Source organism: Homo sapiens, chromosome 5 (assembly GCF_000001405.40).
Source record: "Homo sapiens chromosome 5, GRCh38.p14 Primary Assembly".
NCBI lineage: Eukaryota > Metazoa > Chordata > Mammalia > Primates > Hominidae > Homo > Homo sapiens.
In genome coordinates, this window is record NC_000005.10 from 137,740,783 (window position 1) to 137,766,154 (window position 25,372).

Below are 25,372 nucleotides of genomic sequence, written 5' to 3' on the forward strand. Positions count from 1 at the left end.
TCCCTTGCACACACAGTTCACAATAGGGTTCATGCTCCTAGGAGAATCTAATGCCACTGCTGAGCTGACAGGAGACAGAGGTCAGGTGGTCATGCTCGCTTGCCGGCTGCTCACCTCCTGCTGTGCATCCCAATTCTTAACAGGCCATGGACCAGTACCAGTCTGTGACCTAGGGACCACTGTCTTAGCCCAGTCCTTCCCACACCCCAGCCTTCTTCTACAGCTTATCAAAAGTCCCTAGTGGCCCCAGATCTCTACCCCAAAGCAATGTATTCAGCCATCTACACCAACTTTGTTTAGAATCATTCAGCTCTTATGTGGCTTAGGAAGAAACCATGTTGGGAGGAGAAACTTTTTTAAGCTAGGTTTTATCTAGAAAGTTCTCTCTTCCATACTCTATCTCTGTACAGGGAGCCAGTTAAATTTATCTGAAGACAGCTAAGCCAATCATTCTTCCTTGTAAATGCTCTTTTTCTTTTCTTGCCTTTACCCTCCTTCTCCAGGACATCAGTTCCTCACATTTGCAGGCACCATAACACAGTACAATGGTCCCACACCTAGCTGTGCATCAGAACCATCTGCCCAGCTGGTTAAAATGGTAGGTGTCAGATCAATAGGCATGAAGAAAAGTTTTTAGGGTTATAGAAATGTTCCGTATCTTGACTGTGGTAATACCTACACAACTGTATACAAGTACTGCATTTCATTAAACTATACACTTAAAATGGGTTTATTTATGCAAATTATACCTCAATAAATCTGGAAAAATGAAAAAACACTACAGGGTCCGGCTCTTCCTCACACCCATAGAATCAGGGCCTGAGGAACAGGAATTTTTTTAATTTTTTTCCTTTAGTTTTAGAGACGGGGTCTCTCTATGTTGCCCAGGCTGGTCTCGAACTCCTTGGGCTCAAGCAGTGCTCCCGCCTCAGCCTCCCAAAACGCTGGGATGGACAGGTGTGAGCTATCGCACCCACTAGGAACGGGAATTTTAATGAACTTCGTAGGTGACTCTAATGCACAGCTAGATGCAAACATCACCTGAACAATGAAAAGAGCCCAGACCATTAAAATCAGACAGGGCAAGGTCCAAATGTACTTACCAGAAACATGACCCTAGGCAAGTTACAAGCTTCGATTTTTCTCATTCGAAAAAAGGTGAGAACAATAGTACCTACTTCACAGCATTGTTAGGTTAGAATGTAAAGCACTTAGCTGAGAGCCTGGCCTATAATAAGCACTCAGCAACCATTAGTAGCTATGATTTTCATTGTCTGTGCCAATGCTACCGAACCTGAGCACTCGGTCCTAGGTTCAAGAAGAAAATTAACCAGGGTAGGGCCTCTCCTGGAGCTATTTTCACATCTCCACTGGTTACTATTACCAACAGGTCAGCAAGGAGTAGACAAGACCAAAGCTAAATTAAGGTCCACCCACACCTGTATCACCAAAATGCCCTCTCATATTCAGGAGCACTTGCCAAGTGCCCTCAGACAGCCAGGCAGAAACTGAAAAGGAACTTGAGACCCCAAAAAGTCAAAAGAGAAACAAAACAGCACCTTATCCAGAGGAATAAGGACTCTTCCTCTGAAGGTAAAAGAATTCACGCCAAGTAGATTCCAGAGTATAATCACTCATGCCATTTGTGTTGCATTTTTAAGCTTACAAAGTGCTTCATATCCATCATCTCCTTTGACTTAAGACAACATCCCCTGAATGGTAATAATAGCTCCCATTCCTTGAATATTTACTCTGGGCCAGACCCTGTATTCCACACTTCACATGTACCCTTGTCATTTAATTCTCACAACCCTGTAGGACTATTATTTCTCTTTTAAACATGAGAGAATCGAGGTTCTGAGAGTTAAATAACTTGAACCAAGGCCCCACAGTTAGTAAATGGCAAAGCTGGAATTTGAACCCAGGTCTGCCTGACCTAAGAGACCACTATTAGCTATACACAGAATGTACTACCCCTATCTTACTGTCTCCATTTTAGAGATAAGCTAATTGAGACAGAGAGAAAAGGTAACTGGCTCAAAACTACTTAGAGAGCCAACCTCAGTGCAGAACCAGACCCTCAGATGCCTGGCCTAATGCCTTTTTCACCTTACCTCTGGATGAGGAAAAACAGCTTTGAACCCCTAAAGATATTACATACAAGCTGGCATCCAAGGCTTCCAAACAGCTACTATAATAAAGTCCTTCCACCTGGATTCATCTGGGCACCTAGCTTATTAACCAGGACTAGCCAAAGAATGCTCTTGGGGAAAGCTGGAAGAGTACCACTGGAACCCAAGGGAATTAAAAAAAAAAAAAAAAAAAAGGCGGGTGGGTGGGGGGCAGACCAACTAAAGCAACAAGCAGAGTGCTTCACACAGACCAGCACACTGGTCTCTGAGTCTTCCCATGAATCTGCAACCTACAACTGGTGCCCTCTGCTGGCAAAAGTATACATCTCTTCATAACAAAAGTAAAACCTAATTACTACAACTGGGGCTTAAGAAGGAAAAAAATATATGCTTCCTTCACAGACATTCTATTCAGGAATGAACATTATTTCTTACTTACAACTTTCCAATAGGCATATGCAACTTTAAATTGACTGCAATGATCCTCTCCTCTATCTGCTGCCCCTGCCTCACGCCTGCAGTTCTTTCCTTTCGGGATCCAAAGAAAATTGGGCTGTTTTACATAAAAAGGTAAAATATAAATGAATGATGCAAAGCCCTAAAGTCAAGAATACAGTGATGTGTATGTGGGTGAGATCAGGTCTGCACATCTAGCAAGTACAGAGAATTGAGGCAGGCACACACTTGAAGTGATATAAAACCCATGGGCACGTATGCTCAAACATTTTGGTAAATCTCTACCTTCGTAAAATAGCATGCTTATGATTCAGTCAACTAAGTCTCACTGAATATCTACTATGCAGGCTGTACCAGAGACTGACAACATAAATCCTATATTAATATAATTCCAAAGAGCACACAAGCTGTTTGAGAAAATTAGACATAGGCATATACAATGGTAAAAAGTATGAGAGTCAAGTACAGAAAGGGTATCATGGAAACTTGGTGGGAGAAGAGGCAACTTCCAGTTGGGGAGAGGGTGGATGACATGAGAATAGAAATAAATTGAGAACTTAATAATTCTATGGAGTTTTTAAAAGGTATTCATAATTGTAAATATTTGCAAATAGGTAATTTCAACGTCCCATGATTTCATTTAAAAAATTTTTTTGGCCGGGCATGGTGGCTCACACCTGTAATCCCAGCACTTTGGGAGGACAAGGAGAGAGGACCGCTTGAGCACAGTAGTTTTGAGACCAGCCTGGGGAACATGGTAAGACCTCATCTCTACAAAAAAAATTTTAAAACTTAACCAGGCATAGTGGTGTGCACCTGTAGTCCTAGCTACTTGGAAGGCATGGGCAGAGGGATCACCTGAGCCCAGGAGTTTGAGGCTGCAGTGAGCCATGATTGCACCACCACTGTGCTACAGCCTGGGCAACAGGGCAAGCCCTTGTCTTTAAAAAAATATTTAAAAGATACAATTTTTTCATCCCACTACTTTAATATACTTACATATTTATTATGTTAAATAATATATTTTTTCATTACAATTTCTATTGTGGTAAAATATACATTAAATTTGCCATTTTAGGCCAGGTGTGGTGGCTCACACTTGTAATCCCAGGATTTTGGTAGGCTGAGGTGGGAGGATCACTTGAGCCCAGGAGTTCAATACTAGCCTGGGCAATATAGCAAGACTCCATCTCTACAAAAAGATTTTTTAAATTAGCTAGCTGTGGTGGCGCGTGCCTGTAGTCAGTTCTAGCTACGGGGGAGGCTGAGGTGGGAGGATCACTTGAGCCCACAGTTCGAAGCTCCAGTGAGCTATGATCATGCCACTGCACTCCAGCCTGGGCACCAGAGTAAGACCCGGCCTCCAAAAAAAAGAAAAAAAGCCATTTTAACCATTTTTAAATATACGATTCATCAGCATTAAGTACATTCATAATGTTGTATAACAATCACCACTATCCATTTTCAGAACTTTCTCAACATCTGAAAAGAAATTCTGTATCCCTTAAACAGTAATTTCCCATTTCTATCTCTCTGAATTTGCCTACTCTGGGTACCTCATTTAAGTGCAATCATAGTATGTCCTTTTGTGCAGGCTTATTTCACTTGGCATGTTTTCATTCATCTTGTAGCATATACCAGAAATTTATTCTTTCTTATGGCTGAATATTCCATTGTATGTATATACCACATCTTGTTAATTCATTCACCTGATAACACTGAGTTAATATTTCACCTTTTGACAGACCACAGTTAACATTTCCCTAATATTTGACATTTAGTTTCCAATTTTTTGCTACGTCATAATTTTTATGCAAAGACTGTTTTCCTTTCAATAAATTTTTCAATAAACTGTTCTGTTAAGGTTAAATTCCTAGTAATGGTGTCCCAGAGCATATGAATACTTTAATAGTTCTTAATAAATAAATCCATAATTTTACTCTCCTCATTTGCCATTTTTCATAACCTGATGGACAAATTCCGGTCAGCAGTTTGTTACAAATGTATAAAGTGTGACAAAACCAAATGGAGGGAAGCTTTTGGAGAAAGAAAAGGAATTAACAAAGCAGAAACAGCTCAGAAGAGCTCTCCACTAGACAGAGCTGGCTGACTTCTGTGACAGGTTGCCCAACTGCTCCTTCTATCCATAACCTGATGTTTTCCAATTAACTTGGTGACTCTTTGAAAAAAAAAAAAAAAATCTGCCTGTGTCAGGGATCCCCCGGACCAAGCCCATATTGAGATTTGATAGAAGGGTTCACAAAACTCAGCACTGCTAAGTATCGTACTCATGGCTAAAGTTTATTACAGTGACACAGTAAGTGTACACAGTTGGATCATACAGGAAAAAGACATAAGCAGAATCTGGAGGAATCCATGTGCAGGCTTCTTTAGGATCTCTCCCTCCCATGAAGATTCACACAGAGCACATTTTTATACGAGGGATGTTTCTGCCTAGGGACTCAGTATGCAAGGTTTTCATTGGGAGTTTGGTCATATAGACATCCTTTACCTGGCATGTACCAAAATTCCATACTCCCAGAAGGAAAGCAGGTGTTTAGCATAAATCATCTTGTTTGAACAGTCTAGGTACAGTGAACCACCTTTATTAGTGAACAGTGAGAATACCCCTAAATCCACGTGTTCAGATAAGGGCCAACCATGCAAGTAGGCCACTCTAAAAGATACCAGCCTCAGGCCAGATATAACTTTTTCTGCACACCCCCAATTCAAGATTCATTTTGGCCAAAAAGCAGCATCTCTCAACATATATATGTAGATACCTATGGTAGAGTTGAAAAGATTGTGGATCACTTATACCTTATCCAAGTAGTTCTGATTGCTTTCCTTATAAACCTTCATTGAAAGCAGCTGTATGAAAGGAATAGGAATTTTGGGAAACACATCTTTTAAAATTCAAATCAGATCATGGAACTCCTCTGCTCAAAACTGAAATGGTTCACCATTCATTTAGTGAAAACCAAAATCCTTACAACAACCTACAAATCCCTACATGATCTGGCCCCTCTGGCCTCATTATTCCTTTCCTCCTCTTCCTTCAGGTCCAACAACCCTGAACAATTTGCATTTCTTCAGAGGCCAGACACAGTCCTGCTTCAGGGCTTTTGCTCTTCCTAATCCTCTACCTAGAATGCTCTTCCCATACCTATATTGCTCACTCCCACATTTCCTTCAAGTCTTTGCTCAAATGTCACTTTCTGAGAGACCTACCCATACCACCTATTTTAAAGTATGCTATCCTCACAAACATCCCTTGCAACAATCGCCATTCCTCACCCTAATTTTTTCTATACTTCTCATCTTCTAACATACCATATAATTGATTATGTCTTATTGCCTGTCTCTCCCCAGTAAAATATAAGCTCTTTGAGGGCAGGGATTTTTGTCTTTTTCTTCTGTATTTCCAGCACAATCACCCAGCAGAAGAGTAACAAATTTTAACTTGACATACTAAGAAACAGGGAGGCACTGAATTTAGGGATAGTAACCTAGTGCAAATAGCTAGATCTTCACGTTTGGTGGTGTGGGAAGATCAAGTCATAAGAAAATGTGAAAGAAGTTTTTTTTTTTAATTTCACTGAAGAGATGACCACAGTATATTCAGTTATTGAAGAGTTTTAATAAAAGGAACTATTTACAAGGGTATGGGCACAGTTAAGGCAAATCAACAAGGTTTGAACCTTCTTGGGACTAGAGAATCTAGCAATAGGAGACAGTTACGAGAAGCCAGAAAAGACCTAGAGCTATAAGAGGGCCACTGGAGCAGAGCTGTGGCCACTCACAATCTCTTGCTAAGTATATGAGAAAGAGAAGGAGCAAATATTTCAGCCTCACTTTTCTATCACTGTCCAAACCCACCATGAATAAAGCCAGAAAAGAGAGTATGCAGTTCTTTATTTGTCAGCCTCCCAGGAACACAGAACAAGAGAGATAAAGATGGAAAATAGATCAGGAAGGGCAAAAAGAATATCCAGCACAATGGCCATTTTGTAAAGCTATATGCGCAAGACACAATGCTTCAATGTGCTACCAGCATCTTCAACTATGTCCAAATCTTCCCTCTAAATCTTCTCTTCCTATTACCAGTGGCATCACCATCCTCTCACACAGTAATTTTGATTAATCTACTCTCTCTTCCTCATTCTTCATATATCCAAATATTTGTCAATTATGCTTTCACAACTTACCTCAACTTCTTTGTCAGTCTATTTCCATTGCTCTTTGTTCATGCTCTCATTCTCTTACCTGGTTAACATCAGTTGTCTTAGCAAACTTGCCACTTTGAAACATCCCCCACTGCCATTTATGTTACTCAGTGCTACTGGACTAATCTTTGTGAATTAGTTTCACTACCATTATTGTTGCTCAAAAACCTTTAATGACTTTTACTGCCTACCCTAAGTCCAAACTCCTTAGCCTACTACTCAAAGACCTCAGTAACCTGGTTCCAACTTCATTTTCTCAATTTATTTCTCACAACTCTCTTTTATCTTAGTACAAATTAGACATTTGTTAGCTGGAAGTCAATGAAGCTTAGTAGAAGGAGCGAAACAACTAGAATTGGTCAAACTTGGATTCAACTCTCAGTTCTACCATGTCACCAGCTGGGGGTCCTTGGGAGTTACTTTTCTGGCATGAGATTTAGCAACCTTATCTGTGAAGGTTACTGAATGATGCAATGAGAACATTTGTAAATGTACCTAGTGTTTGGCATCCAATATGCATACTTCTCCAAATACGCTCCATGTTTCTGCCTATCTGTCCTCCACCTAAAATGCCCTCTTTCTCCTCCCACCTTCTCTATAAGACCTATCTTTTAAGGTTAAATGTTATATGCTCCACAATGCCTCTCTTGATCCTTCTTCCTACCTGAAGTCACCTCTCCTCAACACTCACATTATTTATACCTTCCTAATATTAACAAATACTTAAAACATTACAGATGGCTAGCAGAATTCATCTCTCTCCTACTAGAGTTGAAGCAGCAGTGATTTAGAGAACTACCACATGGAAGCTCACCCAGCAAGTAAAGAGCAAAGCCTAAAGACCATGCATATCTCGGGTACTAAGATATAAAAGTATGCCTTTTGCTAGTCTGTCCCACCTCTTCATTAGGGGCCATATAGTAAAATTACTGTGTACCAGAGACTACAGTAAGCCCTTCTTTATATGCATTCTTTCACTGAATCTGCCCAACAATCCTATGTAGCAGGTATTACCATAGCCTATTTTTTTACAAATAAGGCAAGTGAGGCTCGGGCCAGTTTGTCCAAGGTCGCAGTGCTAGAAAGTGACTGTGTCAGGAACAGAATTTGGTCTATTGGATGCCCAAATTTACGTCCTTAAGGGCTATGAAATATTAAATCAGATACCCACTATGAAGCAAATTACATTTGCAACGTAAGCATCAAAGACAAAATACACCTTTGATTTCTAAAAAGTAATCAATTAAGGAGAAAAGAGTCTTAATTTTCATCAGAGAATGTACATTCAATGACAATGGAGCTAACTCCAATTTTGATGGTGTGAACAATATGAGATTGTGACACAATGCTGTAAAGGAAAAGATGCATCATCTCAAAATAAATTGAATTCCCATTTCAAAATAAATTGAATTCCAACCAGAACGCAAGGTATATGAAGACAGCAACCATGTTTGTCTCACTGCTGTGTACCTCCACATTATAGAACTGTCTTACACAAAGGTGCCTAACACCCAATGAAATTGACGGTAAACACTGGGAAATAAGCACACTGTTTAAATGGCAAAAGTTTACACTTGAGAACTTTATAGCAGGAAATGATAGCTATTTCAGATAGATTTTTTAAGTAAACCATACAAAGTGGTAAAAGAATTAAAGAGACAAAGAAAGCCTGCCTGAATAGAGAAGGAAACAGTTAAGAATAACTACCAAAGGTGTCTTCCTGAATCCTTTCCCTCTCTGAAGGTTCAAATCATCTGGCTTCAAATCAAAGTAAAAAAAATAGGTGGAAAATAGAGAATTGCCCTTCTAGTCTTCCTACTTTGGAATTCCTTTTTAAATAGCAGCTTTCAAATATCTTTTTATAATAAATGTTTTACCTTGTAACATTTAAATTCTCATTCAAGGCAAATATGAAGTTCACTCAAAAGCAGGACAGCTAAGGAGTTATTTGACTAGGCAGTCTTTGTTGCTGTTTCAAAAGGCCAAAATAAGGCTGAGGAGGAAAATTTCCCCAATGATCACTCTTAAAGTGATTCAATAAATTGGTTACGATGGAGAAAGACACTTAGCCTAAGTGCAAGTGCTGTCTTTTTGGGTAAAATCCGTGTAGTCTAGATGCAGTTCTGCTCCAAATCCAACATCCAAATGCCTATCTGCAATCAGCAGACGCGGGCAGACAAAATTTAACCTAAAATGCAAACTCTCAAAACTTAAGCACACTTAAAAGGTAAACTAAGTTTACAAATCCAATAACTGATACCATCACTTCTGGTTTTGAAGGAAATCATAAATGCAAATTTCTCAAGTATCCTCAATCTTTTAGGTTTACTTAAAAATTATGAAAATTAGATTTGAATATGAAACGTTCCAAATCACTAAGTTAAAAATGGATGAATGGGTACAATCAGTATAGTCATTCTGATTTGATAGTTATCACTGTGAACCTTAACCACTTGCAGGCTTTTTTTTGGATACAGTAAATCAGTACCAATGAGAGCTTTTTAAATGACCTGAAAAACACTACAGATATTCCAATCAAAAAATCTAAAATGCTCCAAAATCCGAAATTTTTTGAGTGCAGACATGACATTCAAAGGAAATGCTCATTGAAGCAGTTTGGATTTTACATTTTTGTATGAGAGCTGCTCAGCTGGTAAACATAATGGAAATATTCAAAAATTGAAAAAAATCTAAAACTCAAAACACTTCTGGGCCCAAGAATTTCAGATAAGGAATACTCAACCTGTATCATCTCTAACAGCCTTTCAAACCACTTTCAACTAATGACTACTGAATTTATACTTTTAAAAGAATGTAAATGCCAAAGATCTTCACATTAAGATGAAAAATAGGAGGTTCACTTTTATTTTGCTAATCCGTCAAAATACATTCAAGCATGGCACAAAAATTATATTCAACACTAGGTTCTGTACCACCTGCTCCCATGAACTCTTAAATCTGAATAATGTTCAGATAATTTTCATAGGTGGAAGTGGTCAAAACATACAACCAATTGTCCCTCCTCCCCAAGTCCCACATGCCAAAATGTTTGCATATAAACTGACAAGAGGAACCCAGAAGTGACTAAATACCACTATGCTTTTTTCTTCACTACAAATAGCAATTTTAAGGGTAGACACATGACAATGAAGTGTTAATATACCATGAACAGAACAGGTTGCCTTCCTAATACACAGAAAATCCTTTTACATAATTCATTTGCAAACTTTAGAAGCCACTATATTCCCATGTTGGGAATAATATGACAACCTTATTAAACTGAAAACCCTGAGAAAGGTGTACTATTCCAATTGACCCAGATCTTCCCACCAAAACTGAGTAAGTCAAGCAGAGTAGTATTTAACAATTACAACGAAAAATTTCAGAGAATCATTTTCTGTATCCTAGAGGCCACTCTACAGCCACCAAAAAGCTGGACCAAATTACCAAATGAAGTAGCCCACATGTAATTTGTGTATCACTAGAATTAAAAAATAAGACAGAAATGTATGGAAAGTGTACAACTATTTGAGAGCAAAGGATTTGACTATGTATTACCTCAATGTGTAAAAACATCCACCCCGTTTGTCATAGAGGATATAACACTATTTGTACCAACCATCCGCTACCCTTTGTCAAAATGACTACTGAGCAGCTATAACCTAGCCTAATAATCTTAACCTTTCTTCTTACTTCTTTAAAAGCCCTGCCAATCAGGAAAAAAAAAAAAAAAACTGGCAAGAACTAGACCTTAGGAATTGAACAGTGACAAGAAGTTAAAAAATGGTTCAATATTAAAATATTATTTTATTTTAAAGCCCAATCTTTCAGAAAGCTTCTTAGTATAGCTTTGAGCCTTCAACGTCAACATGTAAGTCAAATATTTAAGTTAAATATTAACATCAAGTTAAGCATACTAGATTAAAAGGTACTCTGAACCCACCCACCAGGTTATACATACTCTCACTCAATCATGTAAAGAATTGAATTCTTTATTTGTGATATCCATAAACGTTGCTATTCTCTATTTCTATCCAGAAAGGCAATTTTCACCTATTATCACTTTTGTTCTTCTCTTATAAACAACAACTTGAATGCTATTGCAGGAAAGGGCTACAAATATACATTTGTTAACCAAGCAGAATACACAGATATTTTGCTTTACAACTTGCACCTAAAATACCAGTATACGTAGCTGGTTCATTAGTTGTCATAGCAATTTAGGGCTATTGCCCAAGCTATGCATAGCAGTTTACATTTTCAAACCTCATATAGAAAGGGCTATTGTGATATGAACTGGCAACTACATTCCTGTGAAGCCCATCTCAGTTACAAGCAAATGTGTTAACTTCCAATTCTGCAAAGAATTTTGATGGCAAAACTTCCAAATCTGATGCAATTGTCTTAAGCAAGTTTTTAAACAAATTGTTTCGCAGCTACTCTGCCATTCTGCCAGTAGATGGTGCTACAAAGATCGGGAAAGGGATTTCCATGAGGCCAACAGTTCGGATATAGGAAAAAAAAAAAAAAAACGTTTAAACCTGCTCTGAAAGTACAAAAACGCATTTGAGGGTAAAATATAACCCTTATTTTTAACCATTCATTACAGACAAACCAGTAAGAGGGATGAAACTAGGCCATCTGAAAAATTTTAAACAGTTTATATGAATGACATGCTTAACACAAACTATATAGAACTACACAGTACACAGTTTGAAGTAAATTGTCATAGAAATGACCAACCATGTCAAGATGATAAACAATTCGCTTAGTACAAGAGATGGATGCACAGAAACTTAAGAGTTTAAAAAGCCACATCCACCACTTCAAAAGTTTTGCCTGTAAGGGATATAATTCAACACGCAACTAGCAGGGCAACAGGAGAGGGGAAAAAAACCACAGGACCTCTTAAGTTTCTCTAAGTACACATCAAGAATAAAGAATTAACACGTAAAGTCTTAAACAAATATCCCTTAAAAAACGGTACGGAATGGATCCTAGAAAAAAAATGTTAGACATGTACGGTCAAACACAATGATTTATTAAAAATAAAACGTAAAAATGATTTTTGTACATATGCTTCCAAATTTCAGGCATGGGATCCAAGTAGATTTCATAGAAAACGCTGTAGCCAGGTTATCAAGTCCTTACAACAAAGTAAACTACCCCCCACCCCAACCCCCACCCAGGTTTTGCTACAGAATCAGCAAGTTCACTCCCTCCCTCCCCCCAAAAAACACAAATTAAAACAAGACATTTTGCTAGTATAAAAACGACCAAGGTCCAAGTAATAATAAAAAAATAGAGTCCATCAATGACTGTAACACAAAAATGTGTATGTGGGGCCGAGTCCATCTTCAGAGGGAGAGACAAGAGAGGTGGCAGGCAAATAGAGGAACACCCCCAAGGGTAAGCAGCCTTAGAAGTGGCTCCCCCAAGGGCAAAACAGGGAAGGCGGTGTGTGTGAGGGGGTGGGGCTTAGGAGTTGACCCCACTTGGGCTGTTGGAAAGAGCTACCCCTATAGCCACTCCCAGGCATTTTAAATTTTCTTTTAGAAGGAGCTGCCTCCATAGCCACCCCCACCGCCATAGCCGCCTCTGTAAGGTCCACTATTACTGCGACCGCCCCAGCTACTGCCTCCACCGCCGCCGCCGCCGCCGCTCTTCATGGGCCCATAGGAGGACTGATGCTGGCTGTAGCTGCCGAAGCCGCCGAAGCCGTTACCGTAGTCGCTCCCACCGTAGGACGAACCGCCGCCGCCGCCTCCGTAGGCATTGTAGCCGCCGCCTCCGCCGCCGCCGTAACCACCGTAGCTGTTGTAACCGCCGCCGCCGCCCTTGGAAAGGCCGTTCTGGTCTCGACCACCGCCGCGCCCCCGGCCGCCTCGGCCGCCCCGGGAGGATCGGGAGCCGCCTCCACCCCCACCGGAGTAGATATCCTCCTTGGGGACTGCTTTCTTCACCTCCACGCGATGGCCCTGAATCGGATGGAACTTGACCACCGCGGCCTTGTCTGCCGCGTCGTGATTCTGGAAATACACGAAGCCGAATCCACGCTTCTTGCCGGACTGCTTGTCGGCAATAATCTCGGCCTTTTCCACGGTGCCAAACTGCGAGAAGTGCTCGATCAGGTCGCCCTCAGCCACGTCTCCTTTAAGGCCTCCGACAAAGAGCTTCTTAACCTTGGCGTGGGCACCGGGCCGCGCCGAATCCTCCCGGGACACCGCCCGCTTCAGCTCCACAGTGTTGCCGTCCACGGCATGGGGCGAGGCGGCCATGGCGGCGTCCGCCTCCTCCACATTGGAGTAGGTCACGAAGCCAAAGCAACGGGAGCGCTTGGTCTGGGGATTCACCACCACCACGCAGTCCGTCAGAGTCCCAAAGGCCTCAAAGTGGCCGCGCAGGCCCGACTCACTCGTCTGCACATTGAGGCCGCCGATGAACAGCTTACACAACTGAGAATTCTCCATCTCCAAGGCCCGGGCCTTGCCCCCGCCCTGCGAGCTCCGAGGTTTCGCCGTCGCCGCCGTTATCGTTGGTTAAGGCCTCTACACAGCTTGGGCCCAGCCGTTGCTGGAGCCACCCCCGCCGCTCACCGACGGGGAAGGGAAAAAGGGAAGGGGAGGGAAGGAAGGAAGAGAGGAAGGGGGAGGGAAGGGGAGCGGTGCCGGCTAAAGGGCGAGCCGAGGAGACTGGAAGACAACCAAGGCCACCGCTACCGCCGCCGCCGCCACCTCCGCTCCCCTATCTGGGCACCACACAAAGAGGCCGCTGAACGCGCGCGCACCCTCCCCGAGGCGTGCGTCACCGCCGACGTACGGCAGCCTAGGGCTACCAGCCAATCCCCGCCTCGCTCCCCTTAATCCCGCCTACCGCGCCGCAGCGCCGCTCTAGATCACGGACTCCCCGCCCTCCGCGGTCTATTCAAGCCCGCGGCCTGTGCCGCTCCCGCTTCCGCTTCTGCCAGCCCACTTTCATTCCCGAGCGCCCCACTGTCCCTTGACATGGGTCCCTCCCTGCCCTCCGCGCACCACCGCGATTCATTTCCTCCTAGCACCGCGGCTGTTCCCAGTGTTTCTCCCCCTCCCCTTTACTCATCCCCTCGCCCAACTCCGCAGTGGCGTTCGCGCCAGCCCCTTGAGAGACATCTGAGTTCAGCCAATCACCGTGATCCCCTCGCACCCACTTCCGTTTTCGGCAGCTGTTGGACGGGCGCGCTCCCCGGTGCGCGCTTGCCCCGGCGCCCCCGGCGTGCAGAGCCGGCCTACCACCCCCGCGCCTTCTCCCGCCCAGGGCTTTGCCGGGGAGAGAGCAGGGGGCGCGCTGGGGGCCATTCCCAACGGATGCGGTCTGGGGCGCCACGCGCGGGCTTTTTGAAAACTTGACTGTTGGGGTTGGGGGCCCGGATCTACCCGCCGCCTCTCCGCTTGTCCGCTACACCTGGCGTCCCCGCCCCACCTCCCGCCCGCACAAAGATGGAGGGCAGAGGCCTGGTCCACGAAGGCGGTTATTAACCGTTTACAGTGGGCCCGACGTGCGGTTAAACTAAAACTTTGCCACGTGGCCCTGCGCAAAAGCGAGCCCGAGGCGGCGGTGTGAAAGACAACAGGGAACCAAAAGAACTTCAGACATTAGGAACCAGACGAGGCGCGACATCCCTGCCTCCCTGCCACCCTCCCGCCCTCCTTGAAGCCCTCCCACGATGCCCTCTCAGAGGAGGCCCTTTCAGGTCCCCTTGGCACACTCCAGCAGACATTTTCATTTAACCTCAGTGAATGGTTTTTTATGTGTAATTTACATCATCTATGTGTTGCTTTCTTTGAACTAGAATGTTAGCTTTTTTGTTGTTGTTGAGATGGAGTTTCACTCTTGTTGCCCAGGCTGTAGTGCACTGGCGCAATCTCGGCTCAGCAACCTCCGCCTCCTGGGTTCAAGCTGTTCTCCTGCCTCAGCCTCCTGAGTAGCTGAGATTACAGGCGCCCACCACCACACCCGGCTAATTTTTGTATTTTAGCAGAGATGGGGTTTCACCATGTTGGTCAGACTGGTCTCAAACTCCTGACCTTAGGTGATCCATCTGCCTCGGCCTCCCAAAGTGCTGGGTTACAGGCGTGAGCCACCGCGCCTGGCCTAGAATGTTAACTTTGCTTTTTTTTTTTTTTTTTTGAGACGGAGTCTTGCCTAAGCTGGAATGCAATGGCACGATCTTGGTTCACTGCAACCTCCACCTCCCGGGTTCAAGCGATTCTCCTGCCTCAGCCTCCCAAGTAGCTGGGACTACAGGCGGGCACCACCACACCTGGCTAATGTTTGTATTTTTAGTGGAGACGGGATTTCACCATGTTGGTCAGGATGGTCTCAAACTCGTGACCTAGTGATCTGCCCGCCTCGGCCTCCCAAAAGTAGAATGTTAGCTTTTTAAAGATGTTGGGTTAGACGAATGTTTTACAGAGAGAGAGATCATATACCCCTAAGTTACTGCTTTTAGTGCCCTCACTCAGATGGGAATGGAAGAAAATTACAATGGCTTCCATTTATTGAGCCTTTGTGTGCCAAGCAAGATAAATGGGGTGGGACATAGTTAATATGAGGCATTACGTGACCAAAAGCCTCCAAAACCATATGGTAAACGCTGAAGAAGTTAAGAGGAATTCCTCACTGTATCCTCAAGTATTCAGGAAAGATTTAGGAAAGAATTGGAAGTTGCACTGAACCTCAGAGCCAAAGACTAGTTAGTATCCTAAGCAAATTAAGGCTGGAACAGAAAACCAAATACCACAAGTTCTCACTTATAAGTGGGAGCTACACATTGAGTACACATGGACACAAAAGAAGGGAACATTAGACATCAGGTCTTTTTTAAGGATGGAGGGTGGGAGGAGGGTGAGGACTAAAAAGCTACCTATCAGGTATTATGCTGATGACTTGGGTGACAAAATTATCTATACACCAAACCCCCAAGACTAACAATTTACCCACATAACAAACCTCCACGCGTATCCCTTGAACCTAAAATAAAAGTTGGAAAGGAAAAAAAAAAAGATTTCTGTAGGGAGTTTATTTGAGCAAAATCCAGAGGGAACATAAGCTTCAAGAGACAGGGAGTGGGCCAGTTAGTTTGAGAGAAGCAGGCAGTTTTAGATAGAAAATAGTGAGAGGTAAGATAGGTTGAGGGTCTTTGGTACTATGAAATGATACTATGGAATGTGCTGAATCTTAGGTTAAGTAGTTTGGATACTGTAACAAAGGTAAATAGATGGGCTAAGGTTTGAGGGTAAACTAGTCTGATCTATCACTTACCCTGTAACCATTCAGTTATGTGACTTTGGCTAAGTTACTTAACCTTTTAAAAAAATGTAATCAGTTTTATTATCTTAAAATGGGAATAATAAAACATCTTTCTGTTGTAGTGAAAATTAAATAAGATTCTACATGTAAACATGTATACATGCCTGGTACACAGTAAGTGCTCAGTTTATCCAATTATATGAATCCTATGCCTGGTGCTGGCAATATGGCTGTAAACAACAGACAAAAACCTCTGCCCTCATGATGCTTACATTCTAGTGGGAAGAAGCAGACAATAAACAAATAAGAGTGGTATATGGCATGTTAGATAGTGATAAATGACATTAAAAAAATGAAAGAGGACAGTAGAAAGCTATTAACCTTGTTATTACAAAAAAAATTCAAATGTCAGGATTTGCCTATTGATAATAAAGAAAGGGGAAAATGGGCTGGGCACAGTGGCTCGTGCCTGTAATCCCTGCACTGTGGGGGGGCTGAGGCAGGCGGATCACTTGAGGTCAGGAGCTCAAGACCAGCATGGCTAACAAATTGAAACCCCGTGTGTGGTGGCGCATGCCTGTAGTCCCAGCTACTTGGGAGGCTGAAGCAGGAGAATTGCTTGAACCCAGAAGGCAGATGCTGCTGTTGTTAGCTGAGATGGCACCACTGTTTCAGAGTCATCCAAATCTTAAAACAGTAAAAGATGAACTCCTGAAGGAATAAAGACCATAACTTATGAAAACTGTTACTTTAGGAATTTACAATTTTGGTAGATAGTTTTTGCCTACATTGTTTTTAAATAATAGTTTACCAGCAGTGCCCAACTTTTCTGGCACAAGAGACCTATTTTGTGAAAAACAATTTTTCCACAGACCAGGATGTAGTTTCAGGATGATTCAAGTGCATTACATTTAATGTGCACTTTATTTCTATTATTATTGCATCATAATATTCAATGAAATATAATAATTATACAACTCACCGTAACGTAGAATCAGTGGAAGGCTTGAGCTTGTTTTCCCGCAACTAGCCGGTTCCCATCTGGGGGTGATGGGAGACAGTGACACCCGAAGTGTGTTGCTTATGTCCAGTTTACTCCATAATCTAGTTTTGGTTGCTGTCACTGCAGAAAACCCTGCTTCACAAATATAGGATGCTGGAAATGGAAGCAGGCTTTTCAGTGCTTTTGTGGCAATCTCAGGATATTCCATCCAGAATGTATGGAGATTTGAAGTTGTCTCAAACATACAAGGCTGCCGTCACTTGCAATCTCAAGCAGTTGATCCTCTTCTAGTATCGACAAAGTCAATTCTTCTGGCTTATTCACAAATGGGTGGTGGATCCATTCCTTCCCAGCTCAGGGATTTTTTTGTGGTTGGCAAGTAAAGCTCAAACTCTTTTGAAAGCTGAGCTAGGTGATCATGCAGCAGCTGGGAGAAAGAAGGCGTTGGCTCAGTCACTTTCAAAATCTCTGCTAATGTTTGAAACATGTCAGAAATCCCAATGTTCACTCATCGCCCCCATAACTCCAGTTTGGTTTTCAATGCAGCCCCTTTATCTGCTGATTTGAACACAGTTGTCATTCTCCCCTGAAGTGACAGATTGAATTCACTGAGCAGGTTGAATGTGTCACACAAGTAAACAAGTTTTGCCACCCATTCTATGTCACTGAAATGTGCTGCTAGTGGTGACTGTTTTTGTAAAAGAAATCTCTGGAGTGGCTCTCATAACTCAAAAATTCTGGCCAGTTATCTACCTTTAGAAAGCCATCTCATTTCTTATACACATCTCACAGAGTTGCGCAAACAGACATTGAGTTAAGGGCATGCACTTTAATGTCATTGATAATTTTAATCACATCCTGTAAAACCTTAAGTTCGGGTGACAATTTTCGGCTACCCGGCATTTCTCTGTAGATGACACAGTGCATAGACTCACATTCAGAAGTGACCTCTTTGACCTGAGTAGTGAAACCAGAAAGCCATCCAGTCATATCAGCCACTCTGTCTGTGCATATACTGACACAAAATGACCAATTCCGTTTTTCTGATATGTAATCAAAGTCTTGAATAGTTCTGCACCTGTGGTGTTGGTTGGCAACAAAAGTGCACATAACATATTCCCCTGCACATCCTCCTGAAAAAGATATGGCACAAAAACAAGCATTGTTGTCTTGTCAACATCAGTAGACTCATTAACCTGGATTGCATACCATGGTGACTCATTAATCCTAACAATTGTGCCCCAATATCCTCTGTATTTCATCACTTTGTCTAGTTATGGTACTAGCCGAAAAAGGAACATGTGTCACCTTTTGAACTTCAGCCTCTCCTAAAAGTTCATGATAAATGTCCTTAGCAGCAGGCAGGAACAATTCTTCACCAACGGTAAAGGGCTTCTTAGCTTTAGCAATGCAGTTAGCCACTAAGAATGATGCTCTCAGTGCAGATACATTTGATGAAGTGGTGGCCTTCAATAATTGCTTCTGGTTTTTTGTTTGCTTGTTTTTGAGACAGGGTCTTTCTCTTTCACCCAGGCTGGAGTGCAGTGGTGCAATCTTGGCTCACTGCAACCTCTGCCTCCTGGGTTCAAGTGATTCTCATGCCTCAGCCTCCCGAGTAGCTGGGACTACAGGTGCGTACCACCACACCCAGCTAATTTTTGTATTTTCAGTAGAGACGGAGTTTCACCATATTGACCAGGCTGGTCTCAAACTCTTGGCCTCAAGCAATCCACCCACCTCAGCCTCCCAAAGTGCTGGGATTACAGGTGTGAGCCACCATGCCTGGCCAGTTGCTTCTGTTCTTTGTGTTCATTTGAAAAACTCAAAAGCCTTGTGTTTTAATGCAAGGTGCTAGGTTTCCATGTGGAGAAGCAGTTTTGAAGGTTTCATGGCTTTGTTGGATAGCCGGTTGCCACATGTTATACAAAGTGGGCTTGTAGAATGTTAATCACTTGTTGCAATGAGCCTGTAATTTAAGTAGGACTCTTGGTATTTTCTTTTAAATGCAGCTTTGTTTTTGATGGAAGTCTTAATGTCTTCTGATGTCTCATCATTCAGTCTGTCCCCCTTGACAAAGAAGCTCTCCAGTGACATTTGTTTTTTACTCATTTTGGCTAGGGTTAGCTTGTGGGCTTACCAAAACTATGACTGAGACAAGTGCATAGCATGGGAAAGAGGCACGGATGGAAGTGGTAAATAAAATAATGGGCAGGCCATGCTCAGACTAAAGTTAAGTGTCAGATTCTGACAGCCTGCCACCAGATGTAGCTGTACAATTGAAGTACATCAATTCACTTGCCACTATAAAGCCTACTGCCAGCCACGGCTTAATTGTCACTTGCCACTCACTGATAGGGTTTTGATATGAGTCTGCGACTTATTATGGTCTCTGTGCAGTCAGACCTCCCTGCTAATGTTAATCTGTATTTGCAGCCACTCCCCCACATTAGCATTACCACCTCAGCTCCACCTCAGATCATCAGGCATTAGATTCTCATAAGAAGTGCACAACCTAGATACCTCACATGTTCAGTTCACAATAGGGTTCATGCCCTATGAGAATCTAATCCCGCTGCTGCTGTGACAGTAGACGGAGCTCAGGTGGTAATGTGAGCCATGGGGAGCAGCTGTAAATACAAATGAAGCTTCACTCGCTCACCCACCGCTCACCTCCTGCTGTGCAGCCCAGTTCCTAACAGGCCATAGACTGATACCAGTCCATGGCCCAGGAGGTGGGAACCCCTGATCTATGCCACCTAAATGGGGATCCATTAGGGTTTTCATTTCTATTGGCTAATAAAGCTTCACAGAGGTAAATGTCAGGTCTAGACACCTTACATACAGTAGGGTATAGGGATGATCAGAGACAATACAAGAATGTTGTAGAGACATTAAGAAAGCCAGGATATATGCAGTATGACTGGAATGTTAAGTTTTTTTGTGTTTGTTTGTTTTTTTGAGACAAGAGTCTGACGCCCAGGCTGGAATGCAGTGGTGCAATCTCAGCTCAGTGCAATCTCCGCCTCCAGGGTTCAAGCGATTCTCCTGCCTCAGCCTCCTGAGTAGCTGGAATTACAGGCATGTGCCACCACTCTCAGCTAATTTTTGTATATTTATTAGAGACAGAGTTTCACCGTGTTGACCAGGCTGGTCTTGAACTCCTGACCTCAGGTGATCCATCTGCCTCTGGCTCCCAAAGTACTGGGATTACAGGCATGAGTCACCACACCAGGCCAGAATGTTAGATTCTTTTTGGAGATTAGATCAGTAAAGGTAGGGACAGTCAATAAAAGGAGTATTATGTAAACACTTAAATGATGCAGTCAATTTCCTACTCTACGTCATTAAGGAGGAAAAACTATTTTTTTCTACTTTGCCTTTTAGATCACTGCCTGAGTTTACTTTGTTTCTTTAACTCGCTTACAGGTGTCTAAGCCTTCCAAAATAAAACACTTAAAAATAAAACTGAAATTTAGACTGCCTTTGGCTTCCATCCCTCCTGCAAGCTTGATTACAAAAAGCTAATGGAATGTGATGGTTACACAAGTCATAGAACCACACACTAAAAAGAGTGTGTTTTAATATTAAATTATACGTAGACAGAGAAAGAATGAACTGAGAAAGAAAGGAAAGACTATGGCCAGCTATATTTCCAGAAAGCAGCAACTGTGATTTTTTAAAATTAGCTTTTTATTGGATCCATGTTTGTTTTACAGTTAGGATTCTGCTATGGACTAAATTGTGCACCCCTGGTCCCCACGCTCAAATTCATATATTCAAGCCATAACTCCCAGTACCTCCAAATGTAACCATAATTGAAGATAAGGTTTCGAAAGAGGTGATTACATTAAAATGATGTCATTAGGGTGGGGCCCTACTTCAATATGTCTGGTGTCATAAGAAAGACAACAGGAGCACAAGTGCATAAAGGGACGACCATCTGCAAGCCAAGGAGGAGAGGCCTCAGAAGAACCCCAGACTGCCAGCACTTCATCTTTGACCTCCAGCCTCCAGAACTAGGAGAAAATAAATTTCTATTGTTTAAGCCACTCATTCTGTAATATTTTGTTATGGCAGCACTAGCAAACTAGTACAGGTTCCATTTTTATTTATTCAAGGTGAACATTTCAAAAGGGCATTCTTTGCCACTTGTGGTGAAAGTATATTTTTTCTAGTGGACCCTAACAACTCATATCAAAAGCTTTTAAATTTGGCCCATTCTTTTGAACCAGCAATTACACTTCCAGAAATTTATCACAGCGAAATAATTCAGGACCTATACAAGGATTTAGCTATAAAGATATTTATTTTAATTTGTTTATACTAGAAAAAAAGTTGGAAATGACCTAATTGTCCCAAAATAGCTGTCTAATAAATAGAGAATCAATTAAGTGCTCCAGGTAAGAATACTATATTATGAAGTACTTAAATTGATATTACAGAGGAAAAAGTCATGACTTGCATTTAGATATAAATCTCATAACATCAAGATGATGTATAAAAAGTCACACTATTTATTTTATCAAATCAAATTAAGTCTGACTTAATTTGAACCCCATACTTGTCAGAATGGCAAAAATGTCAACATTACTGGGGTTCCTTCCACCTTTTTTCATGCAAAGGCACTTGCCTCTCTCTCTTTAATAAAATGCTTTTTGTGGAGAAAAAAAAAAAACCCAAGAGGAAGATTGTCTTTAAAAGGGTCTCTCCTGAGGTGAGAAAATGAACAGACCTATTCATTTTGTAGTGATGTTAATTGTACCTTGTTCTTCTCCTGTATATTCCCTTGCCTCAAGAGCAAAATCTAGGCTTTTAGAAGAGGGAATTGTATTTGTCTCCTCCAGATGGAAGGAAATGTTGAAGGAGGGCCAGGCGCAGTGGCTCACGCCTGTAATCCCAGTACTTTGGGAGGCCGAGGCGGGCAGATCACAAGGTCAAGAGATCGAGACCATCCTGGCTAACATGGTGAAACCCCGTCTCTACTGAAAAATACAAAAAATTAGCCAGTCGTGGGGCAGGCACCTGTAGTCCCAGCTACTCGGGAGGCTGAGGCAGGAGAATGGCGTGAACCCGGGAGGTGGAGCTTGCAGTGAGCCGAGGTCACGCCACTGCACTCCAGCCTGGGTGACAAAGTGAGACTCCGTCTCAAAAAACAAAAAAACGTTGAAGGAGGAGGGCTTAGTGTGAATAAAAGATAGCTTCCCAAGTCTAGAAGTGACAAGAAGCTTCTGAGTTTTCCCCACTGGAGGAAGCCAGTATACAGCCCCCACCACCCCCAACTCCACCCCATCCCCCACATCATTGATAACACTGAAGGCTAAACATTAATTATCTTGAAAGTAAGGTAACCACCTTGGTGTTGGAACCAGATCCACATTCCTAGACCCACGTAAACCTGGAACTTTTTATACACAACTCCAGTAATAACAGGGTTTGAATTACCAGCCAGATGGGTAGGAGGTTGAGGCAGATTATCAGAATTAGAGGACTAAACAAATTTAAACATTTCTCAGAATATCTGTTCCCTAAAACACACACCCCAGCACATACCCATGCACAGACTCATACACAGAATATGTACCTTCTAAATTAAAAGTATTTCGAGCTTTCTATTGTCATTTATTTATCATTTCATTTCATTCATTCATGGGCTAGGTGTTGTGAATAAAGAAAAGTCTCTGGCCTCTAGGAGCTCACAGTTTTGGGAGAAAGAGAAAATCAATTATAATACACTTGACAAGTAGTATAACAGAAGTTGTAAACACAGTGTGTTAGGATAGAAATGAAGAAACCCAGAGTTCAGTAAATTCTTCAAATAAAAGCTGACTTCAGAAGTACGTATAATAATTAAGCCTACAAGAAGGTACAGGAAACAGTGTGTGTACATGCTGTGTTTGGAATTGAAAAGTAACTATCAAAAATGTGATGGTATATGTTAGTTTCCTATTGCTGCTGTAACAAATTACCAGAAATTTAGTGGCTAAAAAAAACACACAAATATATTATCTTACAGTTCTGTAGGTCAGAATCAAGGTGTTGGTAGGGCTGTGTTTCTTTTTGGAGGCTCTAGGAGAGAATCTCATTCCCTGCCTTTTCCAGCTTCAAATGTCAGCCTCATATTCCTTGGCCTGTGGCCCATTTCCATATTCAAAGCCAACAATAAGCCAGTTGAGACCTTCTCACTTTGCATCACTCTGACACTAACTCTTCTGTCTCCCAGATAATCCTGGTGTAATGGACTGAATGTTTGTGCCCCCCCAAAATTAATATGTTGAAACCCTAATCCCATTGTGACAGTATTTGGAGGTGGGACCTTGGGGAGGTAATTAGGTCATAAAAGTGAAGCCCTCATGAATGGGATTAGTGCCCTTATAAGAAGAGCCCAGAGGGCTAGCTAGCTCTCTTTCTACCATGTGAGGATACAATGAATGAGAAGTAGGCAGACTGCAAGATGGGGCCCTCACCAGAACCCAACCATGCTGGCACTCTGATCTTGGAGTTGTAGCCTCCAGAACTGTGAGAAATAAATTTTTGTTGTTTATAAGCCATCCAGGATATGGTACTTGTTACAGCAGCCCAAACTAAGACACCAGAATAATCCCTTTATTATAAAGTCAGCTGATTAGCAACCTTAGTTCCTCTTTGTCATGTAACATAACACATTCTCAGGTCCCAAGGATTAAAATGTGGACATGTTTGCAAGACCATTATTCTGTCTACCTAAGGTGGGAACAAGAAAACTAGCATGATGAATAGAACAGTACCTCACATCTCAATACTAACACTGAATGTAAATAACCTAAATGCTCCACTTAAAAGATACAGAATGACAGAATGAATAAAAATCCACCAACCAAGTATCTACTGTCTTCAAGAGATTTGCCTGATACATAAGGACTCACATAAACTTGAGGTAAAGAGGTGGAAAAAGATATTCCATGCAAATGGACACGAAAAGCAAGCAGGAATAGCTATTCTTGTATAAATAAAACAGACTTTAAAGTAATAATAGTTAAAAAAGACAAAGAGGGACATTATATAATGATAAAAGGATTAGCCCAACAGGAAAATATCACAACCCTAAATATATATGCACCTAACACTGGAGCTCCCAAATTTATAAAACAATTACTATTAGACCTAAGAAATGAGATAGATGGCAACACCATAATAGTGGGGGACTTCAATACTCTGCTGACAGCACTAGACAGGTCATCAAGACAGAAAGTCAACATAGAAACAATGGATTTAAACTGTACCCTAGAAAAAATAGACTTAACAGATATTTACAGAACATTCTACCCAACAACCACAGAATATACACTATTTTCATCAGCACGTTGAACATTCTCCAAGATAGACCATGTGATAGGCCACAGAACAAGTCTTCATAAGTTTAAGAAAATCAAAATTATATCAAGTACTTTCGCAGACCAAAGTAAAATAAAATTGGATATTAACTCCAAAAGGAACCCTCGAAATTATACAAATACATGGAAATTGGAAAATAAGTAATCTGCTCCTGAATGACCTTTGGATCAACAATGAAATCAATATGGAAATTAGAAAATTATTTGAATGAACAATAATAGTGACACATCCAACCAAAACCTCTGAGATACAGCAAAAGCAGTGCTAAGAGGAAGGTTCACAGCACTAAATCCCAACATCAAAAAGTCTAAAAGATCACAAATAGACAATAAGGTCACACCTCAAGAAACTACAGAAACAAGAACAAACCAAACCCAAACCCAGCAAAAGGAAAGAAATAACAAAGATCAGAGCAGAACAAAATAAAATTGAAACAAAAAAATACAAAAGATAAATGAAACAAAAAGCTAGTTCTTTGAAAAGATAAACAAAATTGATAGATCATTAACAAGATTAACCAAGAAAAGAAAACAAAAGGTCCAAATAAGCGCAATTAGAAATCAAATGGGAGATATTACAACCAACGCCACAGAAATACAAAAGATCATTCAAGGCTACTAGGAACACCTTTATGCACAAAAACTAAAAAACCTAGAGGAGATGGATACATTCCTGGAAATATACAACCCTCCTAGATTAAACCAGGAGGAAATAGAACAGACCAATAACAAGTAGCGATATTGAAACAGTAATAAAAAAAATTGCCAACAAAAAAAAGTCCAGGAGCAGATGGATTCACACTGAATTCTATCAGACATTTAGAGAAGAATTGGTACCAATCTTACTGAAATTATTTCAAAAGATAAAGAGGGAATCCTCCCTAAATCATTCTATGA

General features: G+C 41.7%; 1 protein-coding gene across 1 annotated transcript, besides 6 other annotated features; it reads right to left on the bottom strand.

Moving 5' to 3' along the window:
• HNRNPA0 (heterogeneous nuclear ribonucleoprotein A0) lies at window positions 4,869-13,581 on the bottom strand. Its single transcript, NM_006805.4, has one exon. It carries the CDS (start codon window positions 13,282-13,284, stop codon window positions 12,367-12,369), a length of 918 nt encoding a protein of 305 aa, NP_006796.1. The 5' UTR covers window positions 13,285-13,581; the 3' UTR covers window positions 4,869-12,366.
• Window positions 12,240-12,931: an enhancer, noted in NCBI's record as "NANOG-H3K27ac-H3K4me1 hESC enhancer chr5:137088711-137089402 (GRCh37/hg19 assembly coordinates)". NCBI's record gives its function as "activates a minimal SCP1, AML or CMV promoter by ChIP-STARR-seq in primed H9 embryonic stem cells {active_cell/tissue: H9 hESC(primed)}" and the evidence as "EXISTENCE:reporter gene assay evidence [ECO:0000049][PMID:30033119]".
• Window positions 12,341-12,500: an enhancer, noted in NCBI's record as "active region_23185". NCBI's record gives its function as "activates an Ori minimal core promoter by ATAC-STARR-seq in GM12878 lymphoblastoid cells {active_cell/tissue: GM12878}" and the evidence as "EXISTENCE:reporter gene assay evidence [ECO:0000049][PMID:35858748]".
• Window positions 13,011-13,360: an enhancer, noted in NCBI's record as "active region_23186". NCBI's record gives its function as "activates an Ori minimal core promoter by ATAC-STARR-seq in GM12878 lymphoblastoid cells {active_cell/tissue: GM12878}" and the evidence as "EXISTENCE:reporter gene assay evidence [ECO:0000049][PMID:35858748]".
• Window positions 13,622-14,313: an enhancer, noted in NCBI's record as "H3K27ac hESC enhancer chr5:137090093-137090784 (GRCh37/hg19 assembly coordinates)". NCBI's record gives its function as "activates a minimal SCP1, AML or CMV promoter by ChIP-STARR-seq in naive H9 embryonic stem cells {active_cell/tissue: H9 hESC(naive)}" and the evidence as "EXISTENCE:reporter gene assay evidence [ECO:0000049][PMID:30033119]".
• Window positions 13,941-14,300: a silencer, noted in NCBI's record as "silent region_16384". NCBI's record gives its function as "represses an Ori minimal core promoter by ATAC-STARR-seq in GM12878 lymphoblastoid cells {active_cell/tissue: GM12878}" and the evidence as "EXISTENCE:reporter gene assay evidence [ECO:0000049][PMID:35858748]".
• Window positions 17,778-17,897: an enhancer, noted in NCBI's record as "active region_23187". NCBI's record gives its function as "activates an Ori minimal core promoter by ATAC-STARR-seq in GM12878 lymphoblastoid cells {active_cell/tissue: GM12878}" and the evidence as "EXISTENCE:reporter gene assay evidence [ECO:0000049][PMID:35858748]".